Here is a 27977-nt window from a genome sequence, read left to right on the forward strand (position 1 = left end):
AAAGCAGGTAGATGACTCACCAGAGCCAACATTTTACCCTCTTTCCTGCCCAAGAGCCCAGCACCTCTCCCAAAAAACGAAGTTTTTGGTCAGTAGACAAGTAGCTCAATTAAACTGTTTGAGTTTGATATCCTTTTTATTCCCTGATACATTAATGAGTCAAAGGGCTAAAAAACAGTACAGCGCCCTAAAAATGTAAGAATCATCCAGATCAGAAGAAGGAACACATGTGATTGACCATCAGAGTGTTCACCTCTGGATTTTTTCAGGGTTCCCTGAGCATGTTTTATATGTTAACATCTGAACTAAGTTGAAGAACATACTTTTTCCACCCAAGAGTCTGTATCTGATTTTATGTGTTTCAGTGTATGTCAAGTGGCATCTTATTTTTCCTTGTTTTAATGCATAATTCGAATGGCTTCCAAATGGCTTACCATATAGTGCTTAAAATTATGATTGTTTAAAAAAAAAAAAACAGCTGCAGATGCCTGGTGAAAAGTGTCTATGGAAATATTTTCTGTGAAGTAGAGAAAAGAGAAGATGCTCCAGGCATATTTTCGTGGCTTGGCACTACTTGCATTGTGAAATTACTGTTTTAATCTGTATTCCTAATATCTATAGTTTACACAGCCCCACACAACCTTTGTGCCCTTAATAACACAGGCAGATATATAAGTGACACCCAGTGCACATATAGACATCTTCATCTACCTTAGTTCTAGATATTTTATACTTAGCTTCTCATTTATCAGCTTGCAGCTTAGAAGGATAATCCGTCATCTATACAAAGGAAAACTTACCCCAGTGAAGTGGTTACAAATCTGTGAGAATATTAAGACATTCTCCCTTTTTCTTTGATTTGGGATAAAGCCTAGCAGGGCAGCTTGCAGGGAATGTGGTCTGCTTATGGCACTTGGCTTGTGATTCTCCTTTTCAGTGTCATCTCCTTAGTCCCCCAACAAAAGACATTCACGCTCATGTTTATGGGTTAGTCCTTCTGTGTCATGTTAACAGATTCAGTCATCTCCCAGCTCCTGGGTCTCTATTGTAAGTTGAGGGCCTCTGGAGAGGAATGAGGCAGAAGAAACTCAGTAGTCAGGCTGCGTGCCGGCCCTACTGACGGGCCAGGTGCAGAGGCCTTGCTGCGCACTGCCGCACCTGTCACTTGCTTCCAGCCTTCCTTGTCTAAATAGCATGCATGGGAATGGAGATGATAATAATAATAAATGAGAGGAAATGGTCGATCCAGTGGACCATTTCAAGGAAAAGCCCTATTCTTTTAAGTGGAAGCATTTTATTCAACTTGACTTTCTTCACAGCTCTGCTTCTGTTATCCAGAGCTTTTAGAGGAAATCAAGTGCCTGCAGCTGGGTTGACCAACACTGTCTTTGATAGAATTAATCTAGAACAACATCAGGTGACTCACAGGAACTGTTCTCAGAAGTGGAAGGCCGCCTCTGATTGTTCTTCAAACCCTACCAGGTTTTCAGCTACTTTTCCACCCTGGACCTAGGAACCACCCTCCCAGATTTTCCACGATAGTTGTGGTTTAAAATATTCTCAGTGTGCTGGTACTTGTTAGAACTTTTTTGTTCACATGGATGTTTATACCATGGAGGTGGCGAGCCCCTGGCTGGAGAGGCCAAACCCTCCCCGTGTCCCCTGACTGGTCCCCCTTGAGCATCTGCATCCCTTGCTCATGGTACCGCCTCTGCCACCTCCCCAGGGAAACAGGGCTGGCCACAGCTGTCTCCTACATGCACAGCACCAGCAGAAGTAAACACGACCCTTCCAGAAAGCAGATTAGCTCTGAGGTGTAGTCCAGAGACACAGCCAGCCTCTGTGAAGTGGAGCCAGGAGAGAAGGATGTGGCTGGAATGTCACTGGCTGGAGCTCCAAGCCTCACAATACCCTCTGAAACATCCATCCAGTATTTCAAGAGCAGGAGCTGTGTTCTGCTTCTGCATTGTAAGAGAGAAACATTTTTGGCAAAAAGGAGAAAGAGTTCAAAGTAGGAAGATAATTTTTCTGACCTGGAAATTAAAAAAACAGCTGTGTACAGAGAAGGGAGTTGGGTCCCAGTGACCACTGCCATAAAATGCCACCTGTGTATCTGGCACTCTGGAGAAGCCGAGTCGTGGAGGCTGCACATCGCAGGAAGGATCCCCCGTGGGTCTCACATGACAGGGCCTGAAAACTCCCACCCGCAGCAGACAAGGCATCATGGTGGTGCGATGCTGCCCACCCCTCCATGGGAACTTGGAGGCGTCCACTGGAGACGAGCTGCTGTCTTCAGCCCGTCCTCGTCTGGCAGCAAGGCCCCACATGGCTCTGCAGGCTGCGAGGCACACCCAGAACCTCATGCCTTGAGATCCAAGCAGAGCGGCGAGTCGCCGCTCCTCTCCCGCCAGAATTTCCTCCACACGGGCATCTGCATTTCCAGAGGACTGTGCCCAGAGTGCGATCATCTGTAATCCACAGCACCCGTTAACAGCCTGGCCAAAGTGAGACCAACAGAATTTATCAGCAGCGTCCAGCCCTTCCCGAGTTATTGTACATACCCCTCTCACCTATCTCAAAAAACACGGAAGTTCCTTTGCATCACACAAATAGTGGGAGGTGAGGATGAAGTAAGATCACTGGAGGAATAGAGAAATGACTCTCCAGCCCTCTGGTGGCCATAGTAACAGGGACAGAGGGGAAGCACAGCGGCAGGGAGGTGGCCGCGATTTGCTGGTGTCCGAGGGATCATTTAGGGTAATTAGGACAGTCTGCATCCAAGCTCTTTGGACAGCACTTACTTGCATGACCCAAAGAAAACATTAATGAAAATCTCAATGATTTTCATTAATAGATAGACCCCTTCATAATGAGAAACAAAAGCAGACACAGCAGGGCCTCAGCTGGCAACACCTCTGAACTGAGCCTGCACTCAGGAGGCTGCCACTCCATTCTCACGCCATTCACACTCGTCTCGCCACCCCTGCTTGGTGTCTGTTCTGAGAAGCACAGGAATACCCGAGGTGAGGCACAATGACAGTCCTCCACTGTTAAGCTATAGCCTAATTCATATCTTACATGTGTCCTTTTAATTGAAGAGGCGAAGTTGGCCAAATAGAAGCACAAGTGGAGTAAACAGAACATTCCCCACCTGCTCTGTTAGGGCAGTAGCGTTGCTGGGCGTGTGGAGGTCACTCTGCTGCCGGATTCTCTGGTGTTTCCAGGCAGCCTTACCTTAGCTGTCCTCCATTCTCATTAGACTTCTTACCTATTTTTTCAGTTAGCCATCCTTGCTGTTTTCATATCTCCAATCAATAGCCCTACTTTCATTGAGATTTTCATTAATGTTTTCAATAAGCTCTTCTCAGAAACATCTTTTCTTAAAGAACTGTGATCATAAAGGGACCCAGAGGCAATTGTGATGTCACCTCTTCCGTTTCCTGAGTTGATATGAAAGTTAGCACTCTATAAAGTGTTGCTTGCTTTGACTCCGTATTCAGGGAAAATGTGACAGTCAGCCACCCCAGTAGAGCCAAAGAGCAGTCAGGATACAAGGGGAGAAATCGAGTCTACTGGCCACCATCCCGTTCCCATCAGGTGATAGCCAAGGTCCAGCCCATAGACACACCTCTGTCTCCGGCTGACTGAAAAACATGACCTGGAGCTCTTTCAGTGGCCGAAACCCCAGTTGCCACTTGGGCATGTGTGCATGCGTGCACGCACAGAATAACTATTTGCTGCTGAAAACTGCACCACTTTGATACCGAACGAGTAGCTTCAGCTCTCTGCGACTGTGGGAAGGGTCCACATGGCTTCTGTGCCTCAATTCTTCATCAGCCAGGCTATTTATTCCTAAGGTCCTAGTCCCTGACATCATCATTCAGCTGTTTAGAAAGTCCGTTTTCCCACACTGTAACTCCTCAAACTGCAGGTCCACTGGTTCCGAGAGTACAGAACTTGTCCTCTCCACCATTTCCTCATCACACGGCCTAAGGGAAAAAAGTTTTATTTCATCCTTTCCTCCTCAGCCCTGCAAGCTATCCCATAGTTCCTCAAAGAGCCCAGTAAATGGATTTCAGTGTACAGATGTTACAGGCCTCTGCTACTAAGGTTTTTTTTTTTTTTTTTACATGCTCCTAAGCTCCCAGAAGCAAAAGGCTTTTACTTCCAAAAGATAACAACGGTACTTGCCAGTAGCACGCTGCATGGCATTGAGCTGTCTCGTCTAACTCGTGCCACAGTGCATTTGAATCACTGGCCTAGGGAGTGAGGGTTCTCATGGCTTAGGTCATTTTCCCCCATTATCACGATTTATTTCTTCATGGTTTCATTTTTAGTTTCCTGTCAGTGTAATTGTGTGCTAGCTGCATGTACTTGCTGTTGTACTGTGTTTAAATGATTCTCTAACTTCCTTTGGAAAGCACTAATGAATAAGTGCTGTTTCTCTTCTCTATTGTTGGGTTTTTTGTAAAGTTGCTCAAATGCTCTCAGGTATGGCGGCTCTGAATGGAGGACTTGGCGCCACAGGCTTGACGAATGGCACGGCTGGCACCATGGACGCCCTCACCCAGGCCTACTCAGGAATTCAACAGTACGCAGCCGCCGCGCTGCCCACTCTGTACAGCCAGAGCCTGCTGCAGCAGCAGAGCGCTGCAGGCAGCCAGAAGGAAGGTAGGTGCCGCCCTTGGCCCCAGGCAGGGCCCAGCCCAACAGGCAGCACTGGCCTCTAGAGCACGGTTAGAAGGTATCAAATTGAACTGAACCCATGTCATAACAGAAAGCAGTTGTTTTGTTATTCATGTTTAAAAAAAAAAAAAACTGAAAGCTGGGCATGGTGGCATACACCTGTAGTCGCAGTTACTTGGCAGGTTGAGATGGGAGGATCGCTTGAGCCCAGGAGCTGAGGCTGCAGTGAGCCATGGTCATGCCTGTGACTAGCCACTGCACTCCATTCGGGGAACACAGACATACCCCTCTCTCTCAAACAAAAGCAAAAACCTATTTATTTCAGTCTTTCTCACTTGGTCTTATAGTTACCTTCTAATTTAATTTTTCATCGATCTCTTCAGATGAAGTTCTTGTCCATTGTATATTTATATACCACTCTGGCTTTGTTGATAAATAAATGGTTTTAATTATTTCCCCCAGCTACATCTTCTGAAGGGTTATGGCATCTCTGCAGATCTAAGTCCAGGAAAGTTGATCACCTTTCTTGCAATCCCCAAATATCCTCTCACTGCTCACCCCCTGCCATAATTAAGTTCTATAAACTATTAATTTCCCATAAACTACTTCATAGCTGCTGACTGTAAATAATTCCCAGGGACCTCCCTCTCCCAAGTCAGCACAGACCATCACCTTTTCCCCTTACACAGAAACTACTTGTTGGGGGAAGGGGATGGATGGCCACAGGCTTCTGTGGGTGAAACGCTCTCTGTCCTGTGTTTGCCAGGGTTTTGGAGTCCACACATCCTATGAGTGTGTGGCCGGCTCTCAGTAGGTGATGGTTTTCAGGTGAATGATGAAATCCATGGTTAGGATTGCCTTGGTCTTTGTTTAATTGGGGGTCTTCAGGGAAAGCAAGTAAGTGATCGATTGCCTTGCTTCTCTGCCAGTAAAGCAAAATAAACTCCAGGAAGTTAATGCTAAGAATAAATGAAAGCTAATTATGAAATGGTTCATGAGTAAGACCAAATAAGGATCACTGGTCATTCTTCCTTACTTGAAGCTCCTTTAGAGCAAAATCTGCTGAATGATATTTTTTTCTGACTTGTTTAAATATGGGATAAAAAGCTAGAATAGAGAAGCACTAAGGGAGATTTTTTGAAGTTTCTTTCCCTTCTCTTTTACCCTCACCCCATAGCTCCAAACTGCTTTGTCTGAAGTGGGTTTTAAGAGAACACAGCTTAAAAGATACTCATGGTTTTTTTTTTTTTTTTAAAGGAAGGAAAAGGTTTTTTCTTTGTATAAATAACATGGATATCACTTTTAAAATGAAAAATATATGAAAGTCTAAGTTACTTTTCATTATTTCAACTTTCTCTTTGACTATTATGGTAGGCTTTTGAAACATGCACAGGTGTTCAGACAACTGGTTCCCCAGGCTTGTGAAAGAGACCCTACATCATAAACATCACTTGTCTTCCCAAAGAAAGGCCTGTGTGTGTTCCTTTTCTCTGTGGTCTGAGTACCATGGTGACAAATGAGGGCAGAGAGCAGGGCCCTGTAGGACAATGATATCATCACACAGAGGCCAGAAGGCCAGTTCCCCACATGGTGGTCACCTCTCCACTACAGAGCAGGGCCTTCCAGTAAACTCTAGAGCAGTTTAGGGATGAAGTCTGGGCCCTGAAACAACATGTTTCGAAACAACATGTTTCTGAGGTTTCATCTGAGCCCACTGCCCTCAACTTACTCGCCTGGAGTTTTAGGGGTTACTGCTTAGTGCAGTAATTCCCCTTCTGAGATTAAGATAAAATTGCCCAAAATAACCATTGCCCACTCCTGATTTAAGAGTGCGGGTTTTCAGTAGCATGCTTTTGGGTTTTTGATTTGTTCAGTTTTTCTTTGGAATCATCTCCCACCTTGTCATAACTCTCTTCTGATCCCTTTCTCACCCAGTTAATATGTGCTCAAGAAATTTAAACCATCTTCTTATTAGTTTAAGTAAAACATAATTTTAAAAGCAAATGATGCCAGGCAGAGCAAAAATAATAATAATAATAATAATAATAATAATAATAATAATGAATTCCAGATTTTCTACTCCACAGTTCAGTCCGAGGTTGCGAGACCTGGTGTGTTTTTTCCCCAGACAGGAAGTGAGCCTCTGATGGCCCGCCTCTGTCCATTACCTGCAGGAGGCGAGTCCCATGAGGAATGGGGACGCTGGTGGACTCTTACAGCTTTGTTCCTACAAACGTCCCCAGTTCTTTATGCCAGATCAAGTGCCCTGTGAGAGAGATAAAACATGAACACCCCAACAGCCAGGACCAGTAGTGAGTGTAACAGAGAATCTAACAAGTGACAGTAACGTGCACTGGGAGAAATCTGATGAAAGGGTGACTTGTGAACAGGTGTTTCCCATTTCTAGAGGAAGAGAGATGACACACAGGTAGAATCCCATTTTTAAAAAAGGTATTTTGTTTTTTCCTCTTCATCTCAGCCACCTTAGTTGCATACAAGGGAGGTTTTCCATATGAAATCTTTTTTTTTTTTTCATTTTAATATTAAAAACTCGGGGGATATACAAAACCAAACTGTTTCTTGGTGATGGAAAAATTGGGGGATCTATGTCAAGAGATGGTGCTGACATTTTTTTCTTGGGAATATCAGGAGCAAAAGGACAAAACCTACTTGTGTGCGTTTACTGGTCTCTCTGTTTCCTTGGTCTCTGTTGGGCATAGACAAATTCAGCATGAGCAACATTCTAGAAAGCTAGGATTACTCAGGCATACCCAGTCATCTGTCATGTGCATTGAAACTGTATTTTCTCCCCGGCTTCAGGAGGTGAGATGTACTTCACAGTTCAAACTGGGGCCCAATAACTCTCATTTGTGCATTTGGATCTTTTGTGCAGTAGCAACATGAAAGCTGGTAGCACCAAATCTGACCATCAGACATACCACCCAGGATGTGCACACACAGCAGTGCTCAGAACATCCCTTTCCAGTGTTTCAGGTTTTGCATCTTTTCATGTTAAATTTTGATTCCCTTAAAACCAGAAAACATCTGGGGACCAAAGGCCCCCCTGCAATTGTGTCCCTTTAAAATAGACTCCTTCCCATGCCCTAGAATACGGATATATCCCAGGAAATTGGCAGCAATATGGAAAGTTACAGTAGTCATTAAGACACACTTTTAAATGAGAAAGGAAGAGTTCACTCTGTGGCTTCCATAGTTTGCCTCAAGAAGTTTTCTTTGTGAAAAGTCCCAATCATTAGGATACTTTCTTGTGATGTATTTTGTGGAGGCAGGGGAAGAAGCTTGGTTTGACATTTTTACAAAGTTCTTTTTATCCCCATTTTACTTTTCTTCATGCCACACAGACACCCTTCCCACATCTAGGGACCCCAGTGCAGCTATCCCCTGGGGTTGCCTAGTTGGGCAGGCAGGCCTGTTCCTCTCCTGTGAAGGCCAGTTGAGGATTCCTGACCCGCTGCAGAAGTCGCCTCACCAGTTCTGTGAGCGCCCCTCCTCGGAAGACTCCATGCCTGGAACGCCCAAGAAACAGCCAGCCCTCATCTCCCTCAGCTCATATTTATGCCCTTTTGTGCCGCTTTTAACTTTCACATGGTGCTCATATGGGTGGGGGAGAGTCAGGAGAGGAAAAGCGAGGGCAGCTTAGGAGCACGCACCTCTCCAGCCAGCAGGGCCAAGATCTCCATCCTGCCCTTGCTGCCTGTGTTTACTGGGAAAGGATAGGTGGACGGGCAGAGCTTGGCTTCCTCGGTCTTTGCCCAGCTTCTACATCCACTGCATTCATCTCCAAGGCTAACGCCCAGGAGAGTCATTCCTCTCAAAGTCATGAGACTCAGGCTACCTTCTTTCCTTGCCTTGACTCACTGCCAGTCATTTCTAATAAAGATGATTATTAGACTGTGTGTTAAGAGATTTGGCAAATCAAAACTGGCTGGAAAACTAGGCAAATGATAGAGAAATCGGAGCAGCATTACTGCTACATCCATTATTGTCAATTGTTACAATTTTTTAGAATGCACAGAGCACCCTTTTTTCCTTCTCACAGCCTGTCCGTACCTGAGAAAATACGGCCACCCAAGAAAAACCCATGCCAAGATTATCTGTCCCCATTCTGCCCACTGTCACCTTCAGCCCCATGAAAAGGTGACTGAAATGCATATGCCAAGGGGCAGTGGCACCTGTGACTCACAGAAGACTGTCAGTGGAAAGGAAGCCATTCGTAACCAGCATCTTTGGAAATCAGGAAAATCTGAAGGATGATTGCTTTCCTGAAAGGCACTCCAGCACTTGACATTTATCCATCTGTTTGTTTGTTCAACTAAATGCTTAGCCTACCTGTTGTTAAAGTATTCCTAAGAAGGGACTTTGGAAACTAAGACTCAAGGGATACCTTACTCTGACTTTTTTTTTCCTCCTTAGGTCCAGAGGGGGCAAACCTCTTTATTTACCACCTTCCACAGGAATTTGGAGACCAGGACATTCTGCAGATGTTCATGCCTTTTGGAAATGTTATCTCTGCTAAAGTCTTCATTGACAAACAGACCAATCTGAGCAAGTGCTTTGGTATGCAAAAGAAACTAAGCTAGTATATTGCAGTAGGTTCCCAAGTGAAGAGTCGTGGGAAGGAAAATGTGAGACAGTTTCAGCCAGGATAGGGCCTTCCCCACATTGTGTTGGGCTCTGATTTTCTGGATCCTTGTAAGCAGATTTGGGCAAAGAAAGGAAGGCTCTGGGAAATTAAAGTCAACGCCCATACATTAGGTAATCTTCTATACTACACTATTAAGGAATCTAACCACAATTTAGCTCATCTTCCCCACTAATTCCTTAGCCCTCCAGGTTTAGTACAATTCAGACACCGTGGTTGTGGGCAACACCATATTGGGGGCTTATTGGCCTTGACATACACGCACACAAAGACACTTTCACAGACAGACACCCATTCATCAGCACCAACACATCCATGTGTTCAGGCTGCTTGCGTGATCGCAGCTCCACGTGCCCGGGATGAGCAGTTGACAGATCTCACGGTTACATAGCACGCTGCATGATGAGATCTGAAGGGCCACCATCGGGGAGTGGGAATGAATGCGGAGTCCAGGGGCGTGCAGCTGTTATCAGAGACTCAGCTGCCATGCCCCCTTTCCTCAAGCAGCCTGGACTCTGCCTCTTGTGGGTGTTTTTCGCTCCCTTAGGGAGGAAGGGATGCTCACAGAATGGACTGATGTTTTACACCAGGACAATAGCATTCATTAAATATATTCCTTGTTTCATTTTTCAAACCCTATTGGCCCCCAAAGCAGTTTACAGGCCAGGATGTTCAGAGTATATATTACTTGGCAAGCTCAGGGCCCAGTTTGAGTTAGAGTATTTGCTTTAATCACTCCTGCAATTTAATAATTCATGCTGGTGGGAAATAGTAACAGCATAAAACCCAGGTAGTTAGGTAAGGGCTGGAGGAAACACACAGAATTCTGTGCTGTAAAGGAAAGTAGCAAAGGGAGGGTGGTTCTCAAACTTAACTCTGGCTGGTAATGAGTAATCAGGCCAAAGAGAATGTTTTGGCTTCTAAAACTCTAATCCTAAGGTCTAATTTGTGCTATCACCCAGGAAGGTCTGAAGGCATGGTTAAAGGACTCCGCATGTCAGCCACTTACAGTCACCACGTTACCCTAGCAGCAAGGCTGTCAGTCGGGACCCATTCGGCGGCTGCTGTGGCAACTGTATAAACCCGTGTGACAGTTCAGTAGAGAGGGATATGCAAATTAAATCATTATGGGGGGCGGGGGGGTGTGTCTGAGCAGGAGCCTACTTTAGGGAGGCTTCCCTACATGATTTACAAGGCTTTGAGGCTGACTTTTGTGTTTTTCGTAGCTAAACAATATTCTAGATTTGGAAGGGAATTCTGCTTCATGATTTGATTTGAGAAAATACTTCCTTGAAAACAGATTGTTTATCAGCCTACAGCCTCCTTAACCATGTGCTCATACTGATGTAAACCATAGCTGTTAGTGTCAGCAGACAATTCTTGAGCATGATGGACTGGTTTCCATTTTTGTGGAACGCTATAGCACCCAGTTTGCTTGGTGAGCCAGCCGCATTTCTTAGGGCTGCCAGTCATAAGGTAGTGCCCCGTTCCTTCCTAGTTCTTAGCCAGGTTTTGTTATCCATCTCACCTTTGTCCATTTCCATTCTGTAACTATCTTGCTGTTCCTTGATAAAGACCCAGAGGGAAAGGAAAGTCAGAGCAAAAATCTTGGATCCCAGATCACATTTATTGGGAATGAGACTTAATAAAAATGTAAACAGCCACTTCTTTGCAATCCAGCCTACCTCTGAAAAGCTGCCCAGCGTTATGCCGCATGCCCATTTTTATCAGCCGAGAACTGGGCAGAAAAGTCATGTCCTCTTCTTCCTCCTCTAGTTTGTAAAGGAATTTTCTCTTTAGCTTTAATAGCAGATGGATAGAGGTGCTTAGTATAGAACCTTCCGAACAGCTGACGTTTAGACCTAAATGTAAATCAGGACCATAGCTTCCTGTCACCACTCGGATCAGCACCCTTTACAGCCTTGCTATACCTCTGCTGCTGCCTCCCCCAGTGCTGGAACAGACTCTGGGACCAAGATCCTCTTGTCACTGGGTCTTTGCAGTTCTTTTTCAAAAGCTTGCCTTCCCTGCTGTTTATGGTGGAGGTCGTTGCTACAGAGTAAGAGATGGGGAATTCTCTTCAGATGATTAAGTTCTAAGCCGTTGACTATGTATCCCCCAGACTTTGGGAGATGCCAGGGAGCAATTTCCTTTCTGCTGAATTTACTGGAGCTTTGGAAATGGAAAGTGAGATAAGGAGAAAGGCCCAGCACTTCCCTAGTCTCCTTGGTATTAACTCCAAATGGGTAAAAATCAAGTATGAGTGAGTTATTCTAGAGTTTATTCGCTAATTGACCCATCCTCCAGCTAAACAGGTGTAGGCTCTGTGTGACAGACGATGGAGAGCTCGAGTGACAGGCTGGGGCTTGGCAGTATCTGCTGTTCTCCAGCCCTTCCCTTCCCGAGCCTGCCTGTTGGCCTCACCTGGCTGGGACACGTGAGCCCCTAGGGGCCCCCACAGCCCTGAAATATTTACACCACTGCTTGTATGAGTAGCATGTATGGACCTGGGGTTCTTTTGGAGAGATACTAAAGGACTTGAAACACAATGATTTGAGCGAGTTCAGTAAGTGGAACTGAATTCAGCCAAACAATTGAGTCTGAGGTTTCAGTGTTGTGGGGAGGGGTGTGTGCTCCATGATGCCACATTTCCAGTCCAGCCAGCTGCTCCACAGCTGCTCAGTGGGCACGCCCCATCATCCACTCACGGTGGACTCACGATCAGTTCCGCAGAGCTGTGCTGGGCCCGTGGGGCTGGCACCTCATGCTGGCTCTTCAGCCTTCCCCAGAGCTCCAGCCCCCTTTTCTGTTTTCTGCTGGGCTTCCTCTCCAGGCTGACTCCCTCTCTCGGTATTTTCCAGGTTTTGTTAGCTACGACAATCCAGTCTCTGCACAAGCTGCTATCCAAGCTATGAATGGCTTTCAGATCGGCATGAAACGCTTGAAGGTGCAGCTGAAGCGTTCCAAAAACGACAGCAAACCTTACTGATCCTAACCCCAGAGGCTCCCTGCTCTCATTTTAGCTTTCTTAGGGTAAGTCCCACGAGCCAGCCTGTCTCAACAGGGAAGGCAGAGGAGGACCACATTGCCAACTTTTACCAAGAGAGACGGTTATTTTTACAATAAGGCCTCCATGTCCCCACCCACTTCCCCTACCCAGTTTGCCATAATTAAAACTTGGGCTACTTTGTTTCTATTGAGTAATTCCTCCTCCAGTTGTGCCACTGTATTCTCCTTTGTTTTGCGATTTGAATCTCCTTTTACCTTTTTTTTTAATTTTTTTCATTTTTGCTTTTTTTTAAAGAGAAGCATATACACAAATAAATGGCATCTTGAGAATTTAAAAGGCAAACAAACAAACGCTAATGTGCAATTCTAACTCTGAAACCACTGGTGCCCCGAGAGCACTGCCTGGAGAATTCACCCCTCCTTGCCCGGCGCCCGCCCCCGGAGGGAGGGCCCGGTGCTTAGAGGTTAACTTGGTGGCCTAGGAGAGGGAGAAGCCAGGAGAAGCACTTACTCCAACCACACGTCTTTCCACTACATCGGCTTGTTTTACTAAGTAGGATTTTATTTTAGGGTTCAAAGAAACATGACATTTATTGGTCAAAATATTACACTGGTTGTCTATTTTGTTATTGTTTTATTTTAGTTTTTAGAAAGGATTAATGTACAAAAAGATTTAGAGATCTGTTTCTTAAAGCTACAGGGTTTAAAAAATAAAAATGAGTGAAAATACTTGATGTTTCTTGAAAGATAAATTTAATAATAATAAATAAATACATAAATACATAAATAAAAAAGAAAGCCACAGGCCTGTAAATTTTATTTGTAAAAAAGCATTTCTATTTTTATACAAAATTTTTACTGCCTCAGAAATAATGGAAGTTATTTATTGCCTATTGTTAACTTATTGGGTACCTAAAGAGCAGTTCTCTGTCTAGCTAGAACCTTCTGAAGTAGTCTCTAGAGGAATTGTTCTAGGAATGGGCTTTTTTTCACCGTTGAACCCTAGACCTGAAGTTCATGCTTTATCCTCTCGTTGTTTGTATCTGTCTGATTATTTTGTTTGTAACTTCCATTATCTAGTTTACAGTTCAGTCGTCTGACTTTCCCCGTATGTCACATTTGTTGAAACTGGACCTTCTCCCCCTGTCCCTCACCCCAAAACACCCGGAATCCATCCCGTTTCGCTCTCTCCAGATGGATTCTCTTGGGGTTTCATTGTGCTGTGGATAAGGAGTGTAAGAAATGCAAATTATGTGAATGGCTCGGAGACTCCCTAATGACCTAAGATTTGCATTAGTTTTTCTCCTGCACCCTTAAAAGTGATTTTGTTGCCGCTGCATAGATTCTGTGTAACTTTTTACTCTTCCTTGTTTTTTCCCTAGACATCTTCATGCCCGTTAGTTCATCGTTTGCCTAGCATGTCCCTGTGGCGTCTCAAAAAAAAGTTTCATCGTCCCGTCATTGTTTCTGATGTCTTTCTGACCTCACATCATATTTGGTTCTCCTACTGACCTTTGATCTAGTTTGACCTTTGAAATTTGCATGTGACCTCATCTAGCTATGAATTCTGGGAAGTCAATGTGAAAAACATTGCTGCATTCATGCAAGACTGAAATTTATTATTAGACAAATTCATTATAGAAAAAACCTGTGGCAAAAACGTTTCTTTCTTATTTTTTTTCTTTTCCTAAAACAGACTTGAAAGTATTATACAGGGATTGGCATTCTTCCCGGTCACTGGTAACAATAGCAATATGTGTCCAGGGACACAGAATGTTGGTTTCTAACAGACTACTTCCAAAAACAGTTTGAGAAAAAAACTGTCTGATTTTAAGTCTCTAGAGGTCTGTAATAGTTTTTACATTTTTCAGGCAGTGTAAAGTTTTTTGATAAGGCCATTTTAGGTGGCTCACTTTCTCATTAAGATATATATATAGAACCACTTTTTGTAGATTAGTATAAGAAAAATATTTACCCTGTTTTGGGGCAAATGCTACCTATTTGTGTCACCTTTTGCTGAACTCACAGTTAGACAATCCATGGTTTAATGCACATGAAATTACCTATATTTTATACTGTTTCAATGTACAGGAGAAAGGTTACTGTAAACTGTGTTATGTTGGTGCTTCTGTGAATTAAGTTGTGGTTTCATCATGAGTCTTAATGTTCTTTGTTGATAAGACAAGTTTAGAATTGGTTTACTTAATACAAAAAAAAAAAAAAGAATTTCAAAAAAAAAAGTTGTTTGCTTAAAAAAAATTTCATGTGAGGGAAAAAAAAAAAACCTATTCCAGAATAAGTTTTGTGTTGGCTTGTGAAGCATTGATGTCATTTTTTTTAATTGTGGACTATTTAGATGTGTTTGTGTTCAGCAAAATGTGATGTTTTTTTCTTTTAAAGAAAAAAAGTGAAAATATATAGTGCCAAATTCCAAAGGTACTTCCTTCCTAGAGCTTCAGTGTGTTTCTTGTGAGAAGTAATTTGATAACATGGGTATTTTATTATGTGTTTTGTATAAATCCCTAATATTTAAAAAAAAAAACAAAACAAAAAAAGGTTACAAAGTTTGTTAACTTGCTATCCTGTGGTCTTGTTGCCTGAAATTGTTATTGTTTGTTATTTCTCTCTGATGTTTTTTGTAAGACATTGTATAAGTGCCCATGTCCCACTTTTTTAACCACTCCGCACATCAGTGCTGTGAAGGCAACCTCACCATGTATTTTCTTCATAATCTATGGAAACCTCTAAGGTGAGAAAGTTTTGAACTTTTAACCCTTTCTACCCAGAGCTATCTGGAATGTTGATGACTTTTTATACTGTCATGATTTGAGTTTGTTTTGGGGTGTTTCCAATTTGGATTTTTTTCCCTGCATCTATCCTCTAAGTTGTTTCGGTTTGACTACTTTGTTCTTTGGTTAAGATCCAAAAGAAAACAGAAAACAATTCCACGAGGCCAATCTAAAGGGAAAAAATCCTACACTACTTTTACTACTTTTGATTATTTCTCATTTTTGGGAAAAGAATTCCTAATGTGCTACTAGAATTCCTTCTTCAGTTTTAACGAGTAATTGGATAAACCCTGAGGGAAAACGGAGGTAGATTCAGCACCTAACAATCCTGTATGCTTTTGAGATCACGTTTAGTGCTATGTCCTAGTCTAGAATATTTTCATATACCTTGCAGTAAAACGACTTTGTGGCAGGACAGTCTCTTGAGGGGTTTTGTTTCTGTTTCCTAAATACTCCTAAATAATATTTCTAATCAGCCATTATGCTGGGGCATCTCTGATCCCAGTAGGTACCTCTGAATATACCAGGTGTCTGGAGTTAGAAGCCCATAGCCCTTTCCCAGCCTTTTTGGTTTTTTTAATTGAACACATTTCATCTAAGTAAAGCTCAGTTCTTTATCACAATTTACTGACCAAATACCTAGCACCAGTTCCTGCTGCCACTTTTTAAAGTGCCATATGACTTTCTACGAACAGGTACCTTGCTGTCTTGACAAATCCTAATGTCACGCCTACAGCCCCAACACAAGCTCCAGTCTTCCTCTTCGGCATGCCCTGGAAGCTTCTTGGCCTCAGCTCCCCTTCCCCGCTCAGCACCCTGTTAGGATCAGTGTGTGTGGATGGGATAGCCCTGGGATGGAAAGGACTAGCCTCTACTGATGCAAAAAAACAAAAAGCAACACAAACGTTTCCTTCTTATAGCACATGCACTTCCTTACAATGACATGATTTGTATTATCCTCACATGTGTTTACTACTGCTGGGGCCTTCCTTCATCCTCTGAGGGCTATTTTGTACTTTCTGCAGCAATCAGCTTAATAACAACACTTATTGCACCTGTCTCTCTCTGAGAACACGGTGTGTCTCGACACGTACCACGTACGTGGAAACACAAGAGCCCACCACTTGAATTTCTAAGACCATTTCATTCTGAAACTTCTTATCAATTACCTAAATCTCAACGAAAAACAATTTACTGAAGCCGACTCCCCTCCCCATCTCCCTCTCAACCTCAACCCACCTGCATGCATCTCCCCCAGAGGAAACACTGAGGGTAGGGGACAGGAGGCTCAGGACGCGCCCTCTGAATCGAGTGTTTCTTCTTCACAAGTCACCAAGAGAGGACATGAGGGGGAAAGTCCTTTTTGCCCTTCTCCAAAAAATAACCTTCCACAGAGACAAACTGTCCTTCTATCCACTTTTATCTTTTAATAAATATCAAAAGGAAAAAGCTGCAAGGGTGCAAAGGGCCTGTGCCAGAAGAAAACACACACAGGGAAACCGCTTTTTTTAATCAATTGTAGAGAATAGTCATTTTTAATCTAAATTAGAGAATTGTGATACAATGGCAGTCCTCAAAGGCGTAACGAGTTCATCTTTCTTTCACCATAGGGGTTATAGTTGGCTTGTGCTACTCTGGAATCATTTTACTGTTTGTTTTTATTATCTTAAGTGCTAATTAAAAAAAAAATAAAATTTTAAAAAAACCTGTAGTTTCATTACCTTTTTGAATAATGTCATACAAAAAATGTATTTGTTTTTTTGTGCTGTGAGAATTGATGTTTGTAGATTAATAATCATTTTGTTTAGAATTACAAAATAGTTTTTAAATATTGTCTGAGAAAAGCCAAAGTTAATGCAACCTAGTGGAAACTGTAAGACCATTTGAGTATTGTTTGTTTTATTGATGCATTTGGATTTTGTTGTTTGATGGAATTTGAGCCAAAAAAAAAATACGCAGGCTTTCCTATTTCTACAACTGATTGTACTTATGCATTTTGTACCAGTGGAACTTTTTATACTGGAGATTAAAAAAAAAATGGAAATTTTTGTGGCTTGCTCTGGTGGGCCCCTGACAATGACTGATTTCAAGTTTGATTTCGGGTTGATTGATTGATTGATTGATAGAAAGAAAGTTGCTTTTCTTTTGAGAATTAAAAACTTTGGCTTGATTTCTTTTTTCCCTTTGCTTATATCTAGCATTAGAATTTTGTCTTAAAATAACAGCGGTAAGTTTCACTTTTTATTCTGTATTGTGCAGTTACACAATAAGGTAATTAGATTTAGAAGTACTCAGTCACTTTAAGTGGATAAATGTATTAGTTAAAACTTTAGGGTTTGCTTTTTTGCTGTTTAGATCAAAGTTTTTTCTGATTCTTCTGTCCTCATTGTGAACATAACCGTGTAGTTGAAACAGTCAAACTTATTTTTGTAATGTATGTTATTGTGTGATGCAGTTTTTTGCTTCTGTCTCCAATATTAAACCATTTTCCTAATACTTGTTTCTCTCTCTGCGTGTTGTATTGTTGGTAGTCATTATATGTTGGTGATACATCTGCACACCTCACTGTTTCACGTATCTGTTTTTTTCTCTATGTTGTGTAAAAAGATACAGTCGATTCCACTTAAGTGAATATCTGATTTGGGGAAGAGGAAACTGCACAGCAGCCACCTTTGATTTATGTACAACCGCCCACTTGAACTCCTGCTTCCAAGATTTATACACTTTTTTCCTACAGTTCACCTCAGTAACTGCCTTTGGGGTTGGATTTGCCAAGGTGTTTTACGGTCTTTTGACCACACAGGTTAATTTCCCCTTCTCTCCCCTCCCTCATGAGTCTATCCACGCAGTTCTTAACATACATTCCAAACTGCTGCGGGGTTTCCTCTCCACACCCACGAGGCCAAACCCGCATCATTACAGTCCAACTCTTCTTAGACACTAATCACTTTCTAAAAGAAGTGAGTTCTCCAGGGAAGAAAAATCAACTTAGCCAGTGAAAAGGGTTAAACTTAAGTCTATTATTTGTTGCCCTCAATCAAAAGATATGTATAGAAAAGTCATTTAAATTATTTATTTCTACAAGCTAATTGAATCCAGGAGCAGCTTTAATTATTAACACTAACGGAAGAGAAAAGAAGTATTTCCAAGGGCTCAAATGGAAGCTGTACTCAGTCCGGTGGAGGCAGGGGGAGGTAAAGTTTCTCACACTCAAGTCGTCTTCATAGTTTACTGTCCTTTTCCAAACAAAAGCTAATAACGCCATACGCATCCACACACTCCCTCCTGGATGAACCTAAGTCTCGTCCCCACTGTCACCCCAAGGCCAGTTATCAAAAACTGTTCCTTCTCTGCCCTCAAAGACTGAAGCCGCAGGCCCTGTTCTGCCTCTGCTCAGGAATCTGATTGCTCTTAAAGTGCTCTTACAAGATTCCGTCGATGTTTGCTCCCTCTGTCTTATCTCTCCTTCCAGTATTTTCAGACGCACAAGCTCTGACTCAGGCCACCCAGCACCTGGCAGCCTTCCTCTGCGTGCCAGTGAAATCTCTCCCAGTAGGTGCTCAGGCTCTTCACCCTCTCGTTGCAGCAGCCCCTCTGGCCCGAGATTGTATTTTCTAGTCTGCTCAAGAACAGAGGGGCCTGGCGAGGTGGAGGAAGGGAGGCTCCCTCCCCGGGGCTGGCCGCCTCAGTGATGGTGATGCCACCAGCTCCAGCCTGCACGGATGGAGCTCACTTCCTACCATCACTTCTGCTTTCAGTCTCCTCATAGCCTTCGGCAGTCTCCTCTGAAAACACACTGCCTACGTTAGTGGGAAAGGATGGCTAAGGGTGTGATTTCTTTTTATTAGGGAGGTGGGAGGGGGATGTTGGGAGGCATGGGGGGTGATTAAATTATCATTTCCAAGGTGCAAGTGTTTATTTTTCAAATCTATAAGTACATAGTTCCACCATTTTGGCACAAGACAAAATACTCATGCTAAGCAAAGGAAGAGAAAGACAAAGCCAGTTTTTGTTGCTTTTCTAAAGCAACAAATAATTCTCCAAAGAAGGGGATGAAAATGCTAGTTCCTTTAAGCACTTACTGACTGTAAAGTTGGTCCCTGCTTAAATTCATACCCATAGTTTTGAGTCGGTATGACACCACTGCAGTGTGAGCAAGGTGAATCCGTGTGCCATGCATGGACCACCTTGGGATACCGCAGCACCATCAACATCCGCCTTGCTGATGGAAGCCACACACGCTGCCCAGCCCACAGCAGTCGCACGCAGCCGATGGGCTCGGACTCTTAGCTGGCAGGCTAGGACACACAGTGAACATTAATGTACTGTGAATCGTTCCTGATAAGTGAATAAAACATTGTGACCAAACAATCAGCTTATTCACTTATCAGGAATCGACTGTTCTGCTAATTTGCTGTTGTTGTTTTTCATCTCTGTTGTAGTTCACTATTTTTGCTGTGTTCTGTTTTCTCCTCTCATGCTTGGGCAAATCACTGGGAATATTATCTTCATGTGACCATGAAACGTTTCTATTGAGTGAAAATGATATCTTAACAAAATCTATGCACTTGCTATCAGGAACACAATACTGGATGTGTCTTATATATATTGAACTATATAGTACTCGATTTCTTAAATAAAGCTTAAGAAAGGACTCTGTTGTGTGTAAAGTTAATGTGATTATTTTTCAAAGCAGTGTTTCTAAGGGGTATTTTTGTTCTTTTAAGTCTTGAGTGATACAGGATATTTTTCATTAAAATTATATCACTGGCTTTATGACTTAATATTCAATAAATTGACTTTGGAAACAAAAGTTCTCCGGAGTGCATTTTAGCCAAGAGACCTCTGGAAATCCATCGCCTGCCTCGTGACCACGGCCAGTCTCTATCCGCACACTGTGGGTGGCGGAACAGAGCAGTCCCTTCATGGCCAAAAAGCCCACTAGGAAGCACCCAGAGTCTGCCCCAACCTAGAAAACCCAACTGTCTTTCTGGATGTGATCTCTTTAGGCCCAGAAGAAAGGGGACCAAAGAGAAAGGCAGATCCAGGAATAATGCTGGTTTGTGTCAATACTTTGCCAGAATGATGTGACACTGAAAGCATGCCCTGCTGGAGAACAATAGCCGCCCTATTCAGGAAGGCAGAATGAGAGTCAGCAAGAGAAGGCATTTGATCATGCAGGATGAGAAGGGTAATGTTTCAAAGCGGTGTGTGAGAGAGAGACATCCTATAACAGTTGCAGCGCTTAAACGGGAGGCCTGCTGCTTGGCCCTTTGAAGGAATATTTTTGAAATTTTTCCTACAGGCCGTAAGTTTGAACAGAATGGCATTTTCTGTTGGATTCCTTTTTTGCTTCAGGGTTTTATGTTGGATTTGTTTTTCTAGCTTAATGCTGGATTCTGAGAAAAACTCCTTAACTTCTACTTGCAAAATGGCACAAGCATCCTGATCCTTTATGAAGCAAATCTTATTCATTCCTGGTAATGAGGGACAGAAAGAGCAGCTAATGAAAACCCACAGATAATCCAGAATTATTCTTCCATTCTCTGCTTTCTCCCACCACAAACCTCCTACTCATAAACTTCTCACAAAAAAAGAAGCTTCTAATGAAAGTGAGGGAGCAGAGAAAGAGCCAAGAAGCAGGAAAAGGCAGCCAAAGCCAAGGGCCTGGAGAGGGCATACCTGCTGGTGCCGTGCAGCCGCGTGGGGAGCGCTTAACACTGGGAGACCCATGGTCCAGGAGACCTGGGCGCAGGCGCTGAAGAGCTGCCTGCGTGTGGGGCGCCCTTCACAGTCCTCCCTTGCCAGTCAGGCACACAGCTAGAACACACCCCTTCCGTAAAGAGCACACAGCCGAGGGCGTCATGGGTAGGAGGGCGCTGAGTTAGTCGGGGAAGGAGGAATAAGACCAACGTCTTCCCCTGTTGGTGTGCAGCCCTGATTCCAGAGTCCCCCATGTCTCCCTAACCAGGGGCTGCATGCTGGGAGACCAGCACAGAGTAACAGGTCAAGGCAGCTGGAAGTCACCTGCCGGGCAGGAGCTGCTTTCTGAGGAATACTCCATGTCTTGTAACCTGTCTCTACTGGTCAGCAAAGCACCCTGGCACCAGCTTCCACGTGCCTGCATCAGGAGGGTGTTTTAATACAAACTACACACACACACTGTTCTCCAACTGGTCACTTATAGCTGAAGCCGCACATAAAAATCCCCAGTTGTGAGACACTGGAGGATCCTTCTCTCATGAAGCTGCTGGGCCATGTATAGAAAGTTCTCAGGTGCATTCTCTGGGAAGCCAGACTGCCTCGATGTGAATGCCAACCCTACCACTGATTACCCAGGGAACCTCTGTGCCTGAATTTCCTCATTAGCACAAGGAGGGTAAAAATAATACCTAATATGTGGGGTTGTCATGAGGATCAATTAAGCCAATACACATAAAATGATGTGCTCAGGGTCCACGGCGCTGTGAGCACTAGGCCGGGCCGCAGGTGAATCGCAGCAGCCACACCTAAAGACAGGGCAGCTGAACTGGCCTCTGCTGGCCTGGCCTCTCACCTTCTCCCAGCAGGTGTCCACTTAGCTCCCTGGGTTCCCTGGGGAACTGTAGGCAAGGTCTGACCAGAAAGTACAGCTCTTCCAGCAGAGCTCTCTGCACTGACAAGTCCCAGAACAGGCCTTTCCCCTTCAGAGACACTGTCCACTCTAGCGGCATCTCCCCTCACAGGCTCACACACCACACAGCTCCAGGAAGCCACCAACTCATCCCACGCTAGGAAAAGGCAACGATTCCTCACTCAGATCCACCCCTTCCTACCTGTATTGTATTTAGGCATCTCTTCCCCAAAAGAAAAGCCTAGCTGTCCAGTTTGGACCCAAGGCAGGAATGACAAGGTCACCTGTAGATCTGTCTGTAACAAGCCTGTAGGTTCCAGGCCCTTCCAAGGCAAAGCGGTGCTCAACAGCAACCTGAATGGGTATATGACCACCTCAGGGAGAGCAGAGGCCGGACTTCTGAAACAAGGGCAGGCACACGGATGCAGCCAGGCAGAGAGCACCCGACCCCCACCCCCATCCTCACCCTGCTCCCAATTCACCACAGGCACTCTGCTTTTGTTGTCTTTATTGGTGATCCATGCAGAAGTTTGGAAAAATGATTTTGCTACTAAAAGCACAAAGATTAAAAGTCATAGCTTAAGCAGAGGGTGACTATTAAGAGAGACTCTCTGTTACCTAAGCCCTGTGGCAAATGGTTAAAGTCTTCGGAGTCATTCTCCCCTTCCCTCCTCTCTCCACCCACTTCTATCTTCCCGCATTCTTTGCAATGCTGCAGAACATTCGCTATTTATGGTGTGCTGTTTCCATGTCACATGTGTCTGTCTCCTCAGCTAGACCATGAGCTCTCTGAAGGAAGTGACTGTGTCTCGTCCATCAATGAACCCCCCGTGCCTCGCACAGTGCCTGCCATCTAGTCAGGGTTCAAACATGCTGGCTGGTCGAGGAGACTCTGGGAAGCAGCAGTGAGCATGCTGGGGCTGGGGACAAGGCTTCTTTATTCAATTGTGGATGCGCTCAGCGGGGTGGAAACTGGAGACCCCCTGGCCAAAGTCAGGAGCCACAGAGTGGGGGCCTAGGGCATGGGTGGGAATGAGGGAGAACCACTGCGGTGAGCCCCCTATGCAGGCTCTGCCTGGTGGCCCCAAAGCTTCTCAGCTAAGGGGTCCCAAATGGAAGACTTGCCCGCTATGAGGTCAAGCCACCTCAGATGTCCCGTCATCTCTTTCTGCACCCGCTCAGGAACATTTTCTATCTCGACAGAAGTTTAACATCTGAGATCAGAACGGACATAGAACTAAGCGCACATGAACAGAAACTGTGGAGACAGGCGCCTGACTCAGGCATTCCTGAGAAGCGGATCCGCTCCCTTTCCCCCATCTCCCACGGCAGCTCCTGTTGGGCCTGGCAAGTTAGTGCCCAGGGCAGGATGGGGCCGACGCCAGCCCCCCACCCTGCACAGCACAACCGAGCCATTCAAACAGACTCGGACAGGCACAAGGTCCCTGCTACTGCAGGGATGCCATTTGGCGGCAGGCACGCAGGACATGGGCTTGGATCCTAGTTCTGTGTCCCAACAAAACAATAGCTACCACAGAGCGAGGACGTTCGCCGCTAATCATTCATTTGTTCAAAACACACGTTAAAGAGCTACCCTATGGCAGGCATTCTGGTTAGGCCGTGGGTGCAGACAGTTAACACGTCATACCCCTCCCTCTGAGAGTTTGGCCATAATTAGCTTCTCTGCCAAATAAGGGAAAACAGGTAATCAAGTGGATGGTCCAGGCAAACCTCTCTCCCCGCACAGCAGACACTGCATCCCAGGGCGCCCACACAGATTACTTGCTCGGAGACACTTCTATGGGACACTCTACCTTAGCTGAGCTCACTGTTGCTCAGACTCAGCATCGCCCCGCTGGAGCTTCAACGGCTGTCCTGGGGGAGGATGAAAGACAGTGGGAGACAGGGCAAGAAGCTCCCTAAAGCTTGTACACAACAACGTCTTTACCGAGGCCAGAGCTGACCAAAGTGGCCCAAGTGCTCCAGGGTCATGTTTCCCAACCACCCAACTATGACACTTTCTTCCCCATCTACAAAATGGGATCCAACCAACAGCTTCACATCTTTAAAAACTATGAACTGAAATAAATGCTGGGTGCCTTCCCCTCAAGGAACACAATTAGGCTGGGTAGGTGGGTAGGGGGGATGTAAGGGAGGACAGGGCCTCTGTGGGCCTGAGAGGCGGGGGCTCTGGCAAGAGAAGAATGCCCTGCTGAGCTGATGCTGCAGTCACCACCCACCTGGAGCTCCAGGACCCCATGCCCCGCCAGCCCAGCTCTGCCCGCTTTCTATCCCCCACTGACTGCATCTCCCCAGAGGTGCCCCTTTCAGCCTCTCCTACAGTGTCAGCACATCCCTGTTCGCAGCCTCAATTTCTGCCCAGTTGCAATAAAATGTTGGTACCCACTTGCCTGCCTTCCCTGGCACATGACGCTCTGCAGAGCAGGTGTCAGAGAAGGGGAGATTCCCAACTCAACTCCCCCACCCGGTGACGAGAGGGCCAGGCAAGCAGCCCCTCAGGTTGGCCAGAGCAAACAAACAAGGAAATATTGGTGATCTGTCATTCAAGAATGTGATTATAAATATATGTCACACACCTCTATAATTACAACCATCCAGGTTAAAATTTGAATAATTCACAAACTTACGGTGTGGTATGAATTTGGAAACATTGATCTGAAGTAATGTTTTCCAAATTCTATTCTACAGACATTACCCTGCAAGATAATCTATGGGAAAAATAAGTTCGGCAGCCAAGAAGGTGTGAGGAGTGCTGTTAACCCAATCCTCCTGGAAGCTGCCCATGTGCAGTCACTTAGAAAAGCTCTGGGACAGCTCTGCACCCTGCAGCAAAGACCTACCTAGTTCACCTTGTTCAGCCCAGTGCAAGCTGTGCTTTCATTCTTGAAACTGTCATCCTATGATACCTATTAACCGGAGGGGTGATTCAATGCAGTGGGGAAGCACATGGACTTTGGAATAAGGTTGCCTGGGTTGACCGTGGCTCTGCCACTTACTAGCTTGAACCTTGAGCAAGTTCCTCAATTTCATCATCTGTGAAACACAGGACACCAACAGCAGCACCTACCTATATGGGAACTATTCCTAACAGCATTTATAACACAATAAGCTCTAGAGAGGTGTTCATGAACAGCCAGCAGAACTAGTGTCCTAAGGCAAGGGTTGGGAAACACTGGTAGAGAATTGGAAGTCCTATAGAATTCTGGAGACATCATCTCTCCGTAAGATTACAGACTGGTAGGAGAAAGCGTATGTAATTATGACTCAACATGTTAAGTCATGACCAAGGAGTATGTGGGGACTTTGGAACCCAAAGGGAAGGAACTGCATTTCTAACGGTGAGGAAGGTTTCAGGAAACAATCTACAGCCAAATTGACAGAAATCCCAAAACATAAGCAGGATTTCACCAAGCAGAAAAGTAGAGGACAACTGCAGCAAATACAGAGTAGGTGTGCAGTGTGGCTGCGGACAGCGAACAGCCCGATTTGACTAGAGTGGACAGGAGCCGGAAGATGGGACAATGCACTTCACTGGAAACGTGGCTGACATTAGGTTGTTACGGGCCCCAGGTTCCAAATTAGGGACCTTGGGATTTCAGTCTACAGGAAATAAGGATCACCAACGTCAAAAACAACCAGTCAACCAAGGAAGGATCAGAGTGGGTAGTGAACTGAGTAGAAGAGGAAAAGACTAGGGGCAAGGAGACATGTTTCAAGGAAATTGAACCAGTTCAGGTAAGCACAGAAGAGGCAATCAGACCAGAGAAGGGGAAAAAGGGTTGAGAGGTATTTCAAACACAGCAAAATATTGGGTGTGACATTTAGAGAAAGCATAGAAATGACCAAAAAAAAAAAAAAAAAACTGGGGGATGGGGCAGAATTCGGAGTGGGGAATGGAGAAGACCAAGGCTGTAGCAAAGGTCCTTGAGATGGACACAGTAGTAGCAGCAGCATGTCCTGGGAAGTGATGGGTGACAACTTGGGCTCATGTCAGGTTCAAATCCATCCTGGTCTTGCTCCCAGGTAGGGCCAGCTACAGATGTGGGCAGCATCAGTAACTGGGTGGGAAGCAGTTATAGGAATGCTGGCCCCACTCTGCAAGACTGTCAGAGTGGGGGAAGGGCCTGTACTGAGCATCATCTACAATAAGATCCAGGTTGATGGCATGTTATTTCTCCCCTCCCAGAAAGGACTCCACAGGGGTACTCTGGATGAGCCAGGACGTTAACATCGGGAGTTAACGTCCCATTCAGGAGCCCATTTTGCCCCCCAGAGACCTTCCTCCTCTTCCCTGCTTGCTGACGGATGCCTGGGATGTCTATCCAAAGGAGATGGTTTAGTCCGTTCTCTCTCTTCTACACGGGCCAGAAAATTGCCAAGCTCTGTCTACATCCATGAAACTATATTGTGACATGGCCACTTGACATGGGAATATAGTGACATAGCTAAATTTATAGGCTAGTGTGTTTTCAACATTTTCTTACCAGCAATGATGCTCAAATGCTCTCACCCTATCTCTAACGCCCCTCATGTTCTTAATCACATCCTCAGCCTAATTGCATCCTTGGGCTTCACTCAGGGATAAGGATAAAGTTCAGGGATGCATTCTGGTCAGCAAAGTCCACTGTACACATTACATGAAAATAAAAAAACATTCTTTTTTCTTGTTGTCCTATGTCAGGATGGCTGCAACAAAACCACAACAAAATTTCCTACCCCGAGCTGTGATTCTTTCCATCTCCACCTGGGTCAGCAGAATCTCCAGGTAGTATTAGCTCACCTAATTAGCTGCTTTCCCTCTCTTGCAGCTGAAAACCACACCCACAGCACATCAGTCACGTCCGGCCCTGTGTGAAAGCCCTGTTCTCTTCCTACTGACATTCCACTTTGAAGCTCATTGCCCTGGCCAAGAATACATACCTGCTAGTGTGACCCTGAAATACACTGCTGCCTGGTGTTTTGCCCGCCAGCTCCCGGCATCCAGGCGTCTTCTGGCCAACTGCTGGAGACACTTGAGCATCACCCTGTGCCAGGAGCAGGGCCCAGACCAGTGTTGTGCCACCTCGATCCCTCAGGCCGCACCTGCCATCCGCTATGATCCTCAAAACCGGGAAGGGCTCTCTTCTCCAAAAACTTCCTCCCTAACAAGCTCCACTGATAAATTAAAGGCTTCATTCCCCCATCAGATAAAAGGCTAAAACGCAATGAACGATCCCGGAAAAAGTTAAGTAACAGTTCCACCTGGAAACTTGAACGGCCCTTCTTGGCAAGGTGATTTTAATCAAACAGAATTAGAAGACACGGAGAGCCTGGAAGAGGGAGGTGGGAGGATGTGGTCAAGGGCTGCCCAGCGACAAATCACTTCCGCCACGCTGGCGTATGGCGCCTTTGCTATGTGCCAGGCACGGCGCTGGATGGGCTCTTCGTGCATCATCTTCATTTACGCGGCAGTGACCCAGTGAAGTAGGCATTATTTCCATTTTGCAGGAGAGCAAACGGGTTCAGATGTGAAGTATCGGTCTAAAGCCAAACGGCCACTAACCGGCACGGCATAAGCGTTACGTTCCACAAGGTCCCTGACGGCCACCTGGGCGCACAGGTGGTGAGAGCCTGGGTCACCCCACTCCCACTGGATGTGCCCTGGTGGCGACCGGGGCACAGCCCACTGTCAGGTCGATGGGAAAGACTGCTTGGCACAGAGGCTCCCGCATAGGCCCAGGACACGGGGCAGGGCTGGTCACAGCCATGAGTTCGTTGCCTTGACCTCAAATGCCAGCTGCAACCCCCGTGAGCCAGGGACACCCTGGCGGAGTGCACGCACGCGTCGCGGCCTCCCTGCGCTAGCCCGGCGCGCGTGACTGTCTAATGGGGCCGGCGCCAGCGTCCCACACCGCGAACTCGGGCAAGCGAGGACAGAAACGGTTTCTCCACTCACAACCGCTCCTTTGCACTCACATCCCGTCTGTTTGGGTGTCCCCGGGTTGGGACATTAGGTTCTGTTGGTCCCGCTTTCCGCAGGCCTGACCCTAAGCGTCGTCGTCGGGAGGTGGTGGGGTGAGGCGGGGGCGGTGCGTGGCTTACCTGGCGTTAGCTTGGGATCCCGCGCGGCCGACTCCCTTTTCCCCTTCACTGCAGCGTCCTTGTGCTGCTTCTCAGTGGGTTGGCCCTAGCCCCCACCCTTGACCCTCGACCCCGG

At 45.4% G+C, this 27977-nt stretch overlaps 1 protein-coding gene and 1 long non-coding RNA gene across 71 annotated transcripts in view, besides 1 other annotated feature; one reads left to right on the forward strand and one right to left on the reverse strand.

Moving 5' to 3' along the window:
• Window positions 1-19960, forward strand: part of CELF2 (CUGBP Elav-like family member 2) — an 874126-nt gene extending 854166 nt beyond the window's left edge. For 29 of the 70 annotated variants that reach the window (XM_047424494.1, NM_001326320.2, XM_047424490.1 and 26 more), the window contains 4 exon segments: window positions 4474-4671; window positions 9121-9264; window positions 12211-12382; window positions 13741-19960. In XM_047424494.1, coding sequence (XP_047280450.1) covers window positions 4474-4671; window positions 9121-9264; window positions 12211-12338 — 470 coding nt within the window. In that variant the 3' untranslated portion in view covers window positions 12339-12382; window positions 13741-19960. 70 annotated transcript variants of the gene reach the window in all.
• CELF2-AS1 (CELF2 antisense RNA 1) lies at window positions 118-27959 on the reverse strand. The gene is made up of 3 exons (NR_126062.1): window positions 27863-27959; window positions 6855-6952; window positions 118-2495 (listed from the first exon to the last, which is right to left on the reverse strand). It is a non-coding gene; the product is annotated as a CELF2 antisense RNA 1 (long non-coding RNA).
• Window positions 6009-6068: an enhancer, noted in NCBI's record as "active region_3010". NCBI's record gives its function as "activates an Ori minimal core promoter by ATAC-STARR-seq in GM12878 lymphoblastoid cells {active_cell/tissue: GM12878}" and the evidence as "EXISTENCE:reporter gene assay evidence [ECO:0000049][PMID:35858748]".
• Window positions 27960-27977: the final 18 nt, after the last annotated feature.

This window comes from Homo sapiens, chromosome 10, assembly GCF_000001405.40.
Source record: "Homo sapiens chromosome 10, GRCh38.p14 Primary Assembly".
NCBI classification, from domain to species: domain Eukaryota; kingdom Metazoa; phylum Chordata; class Mammalia; order Primates; family Hominidae; genus Homo; species Homo sapiens.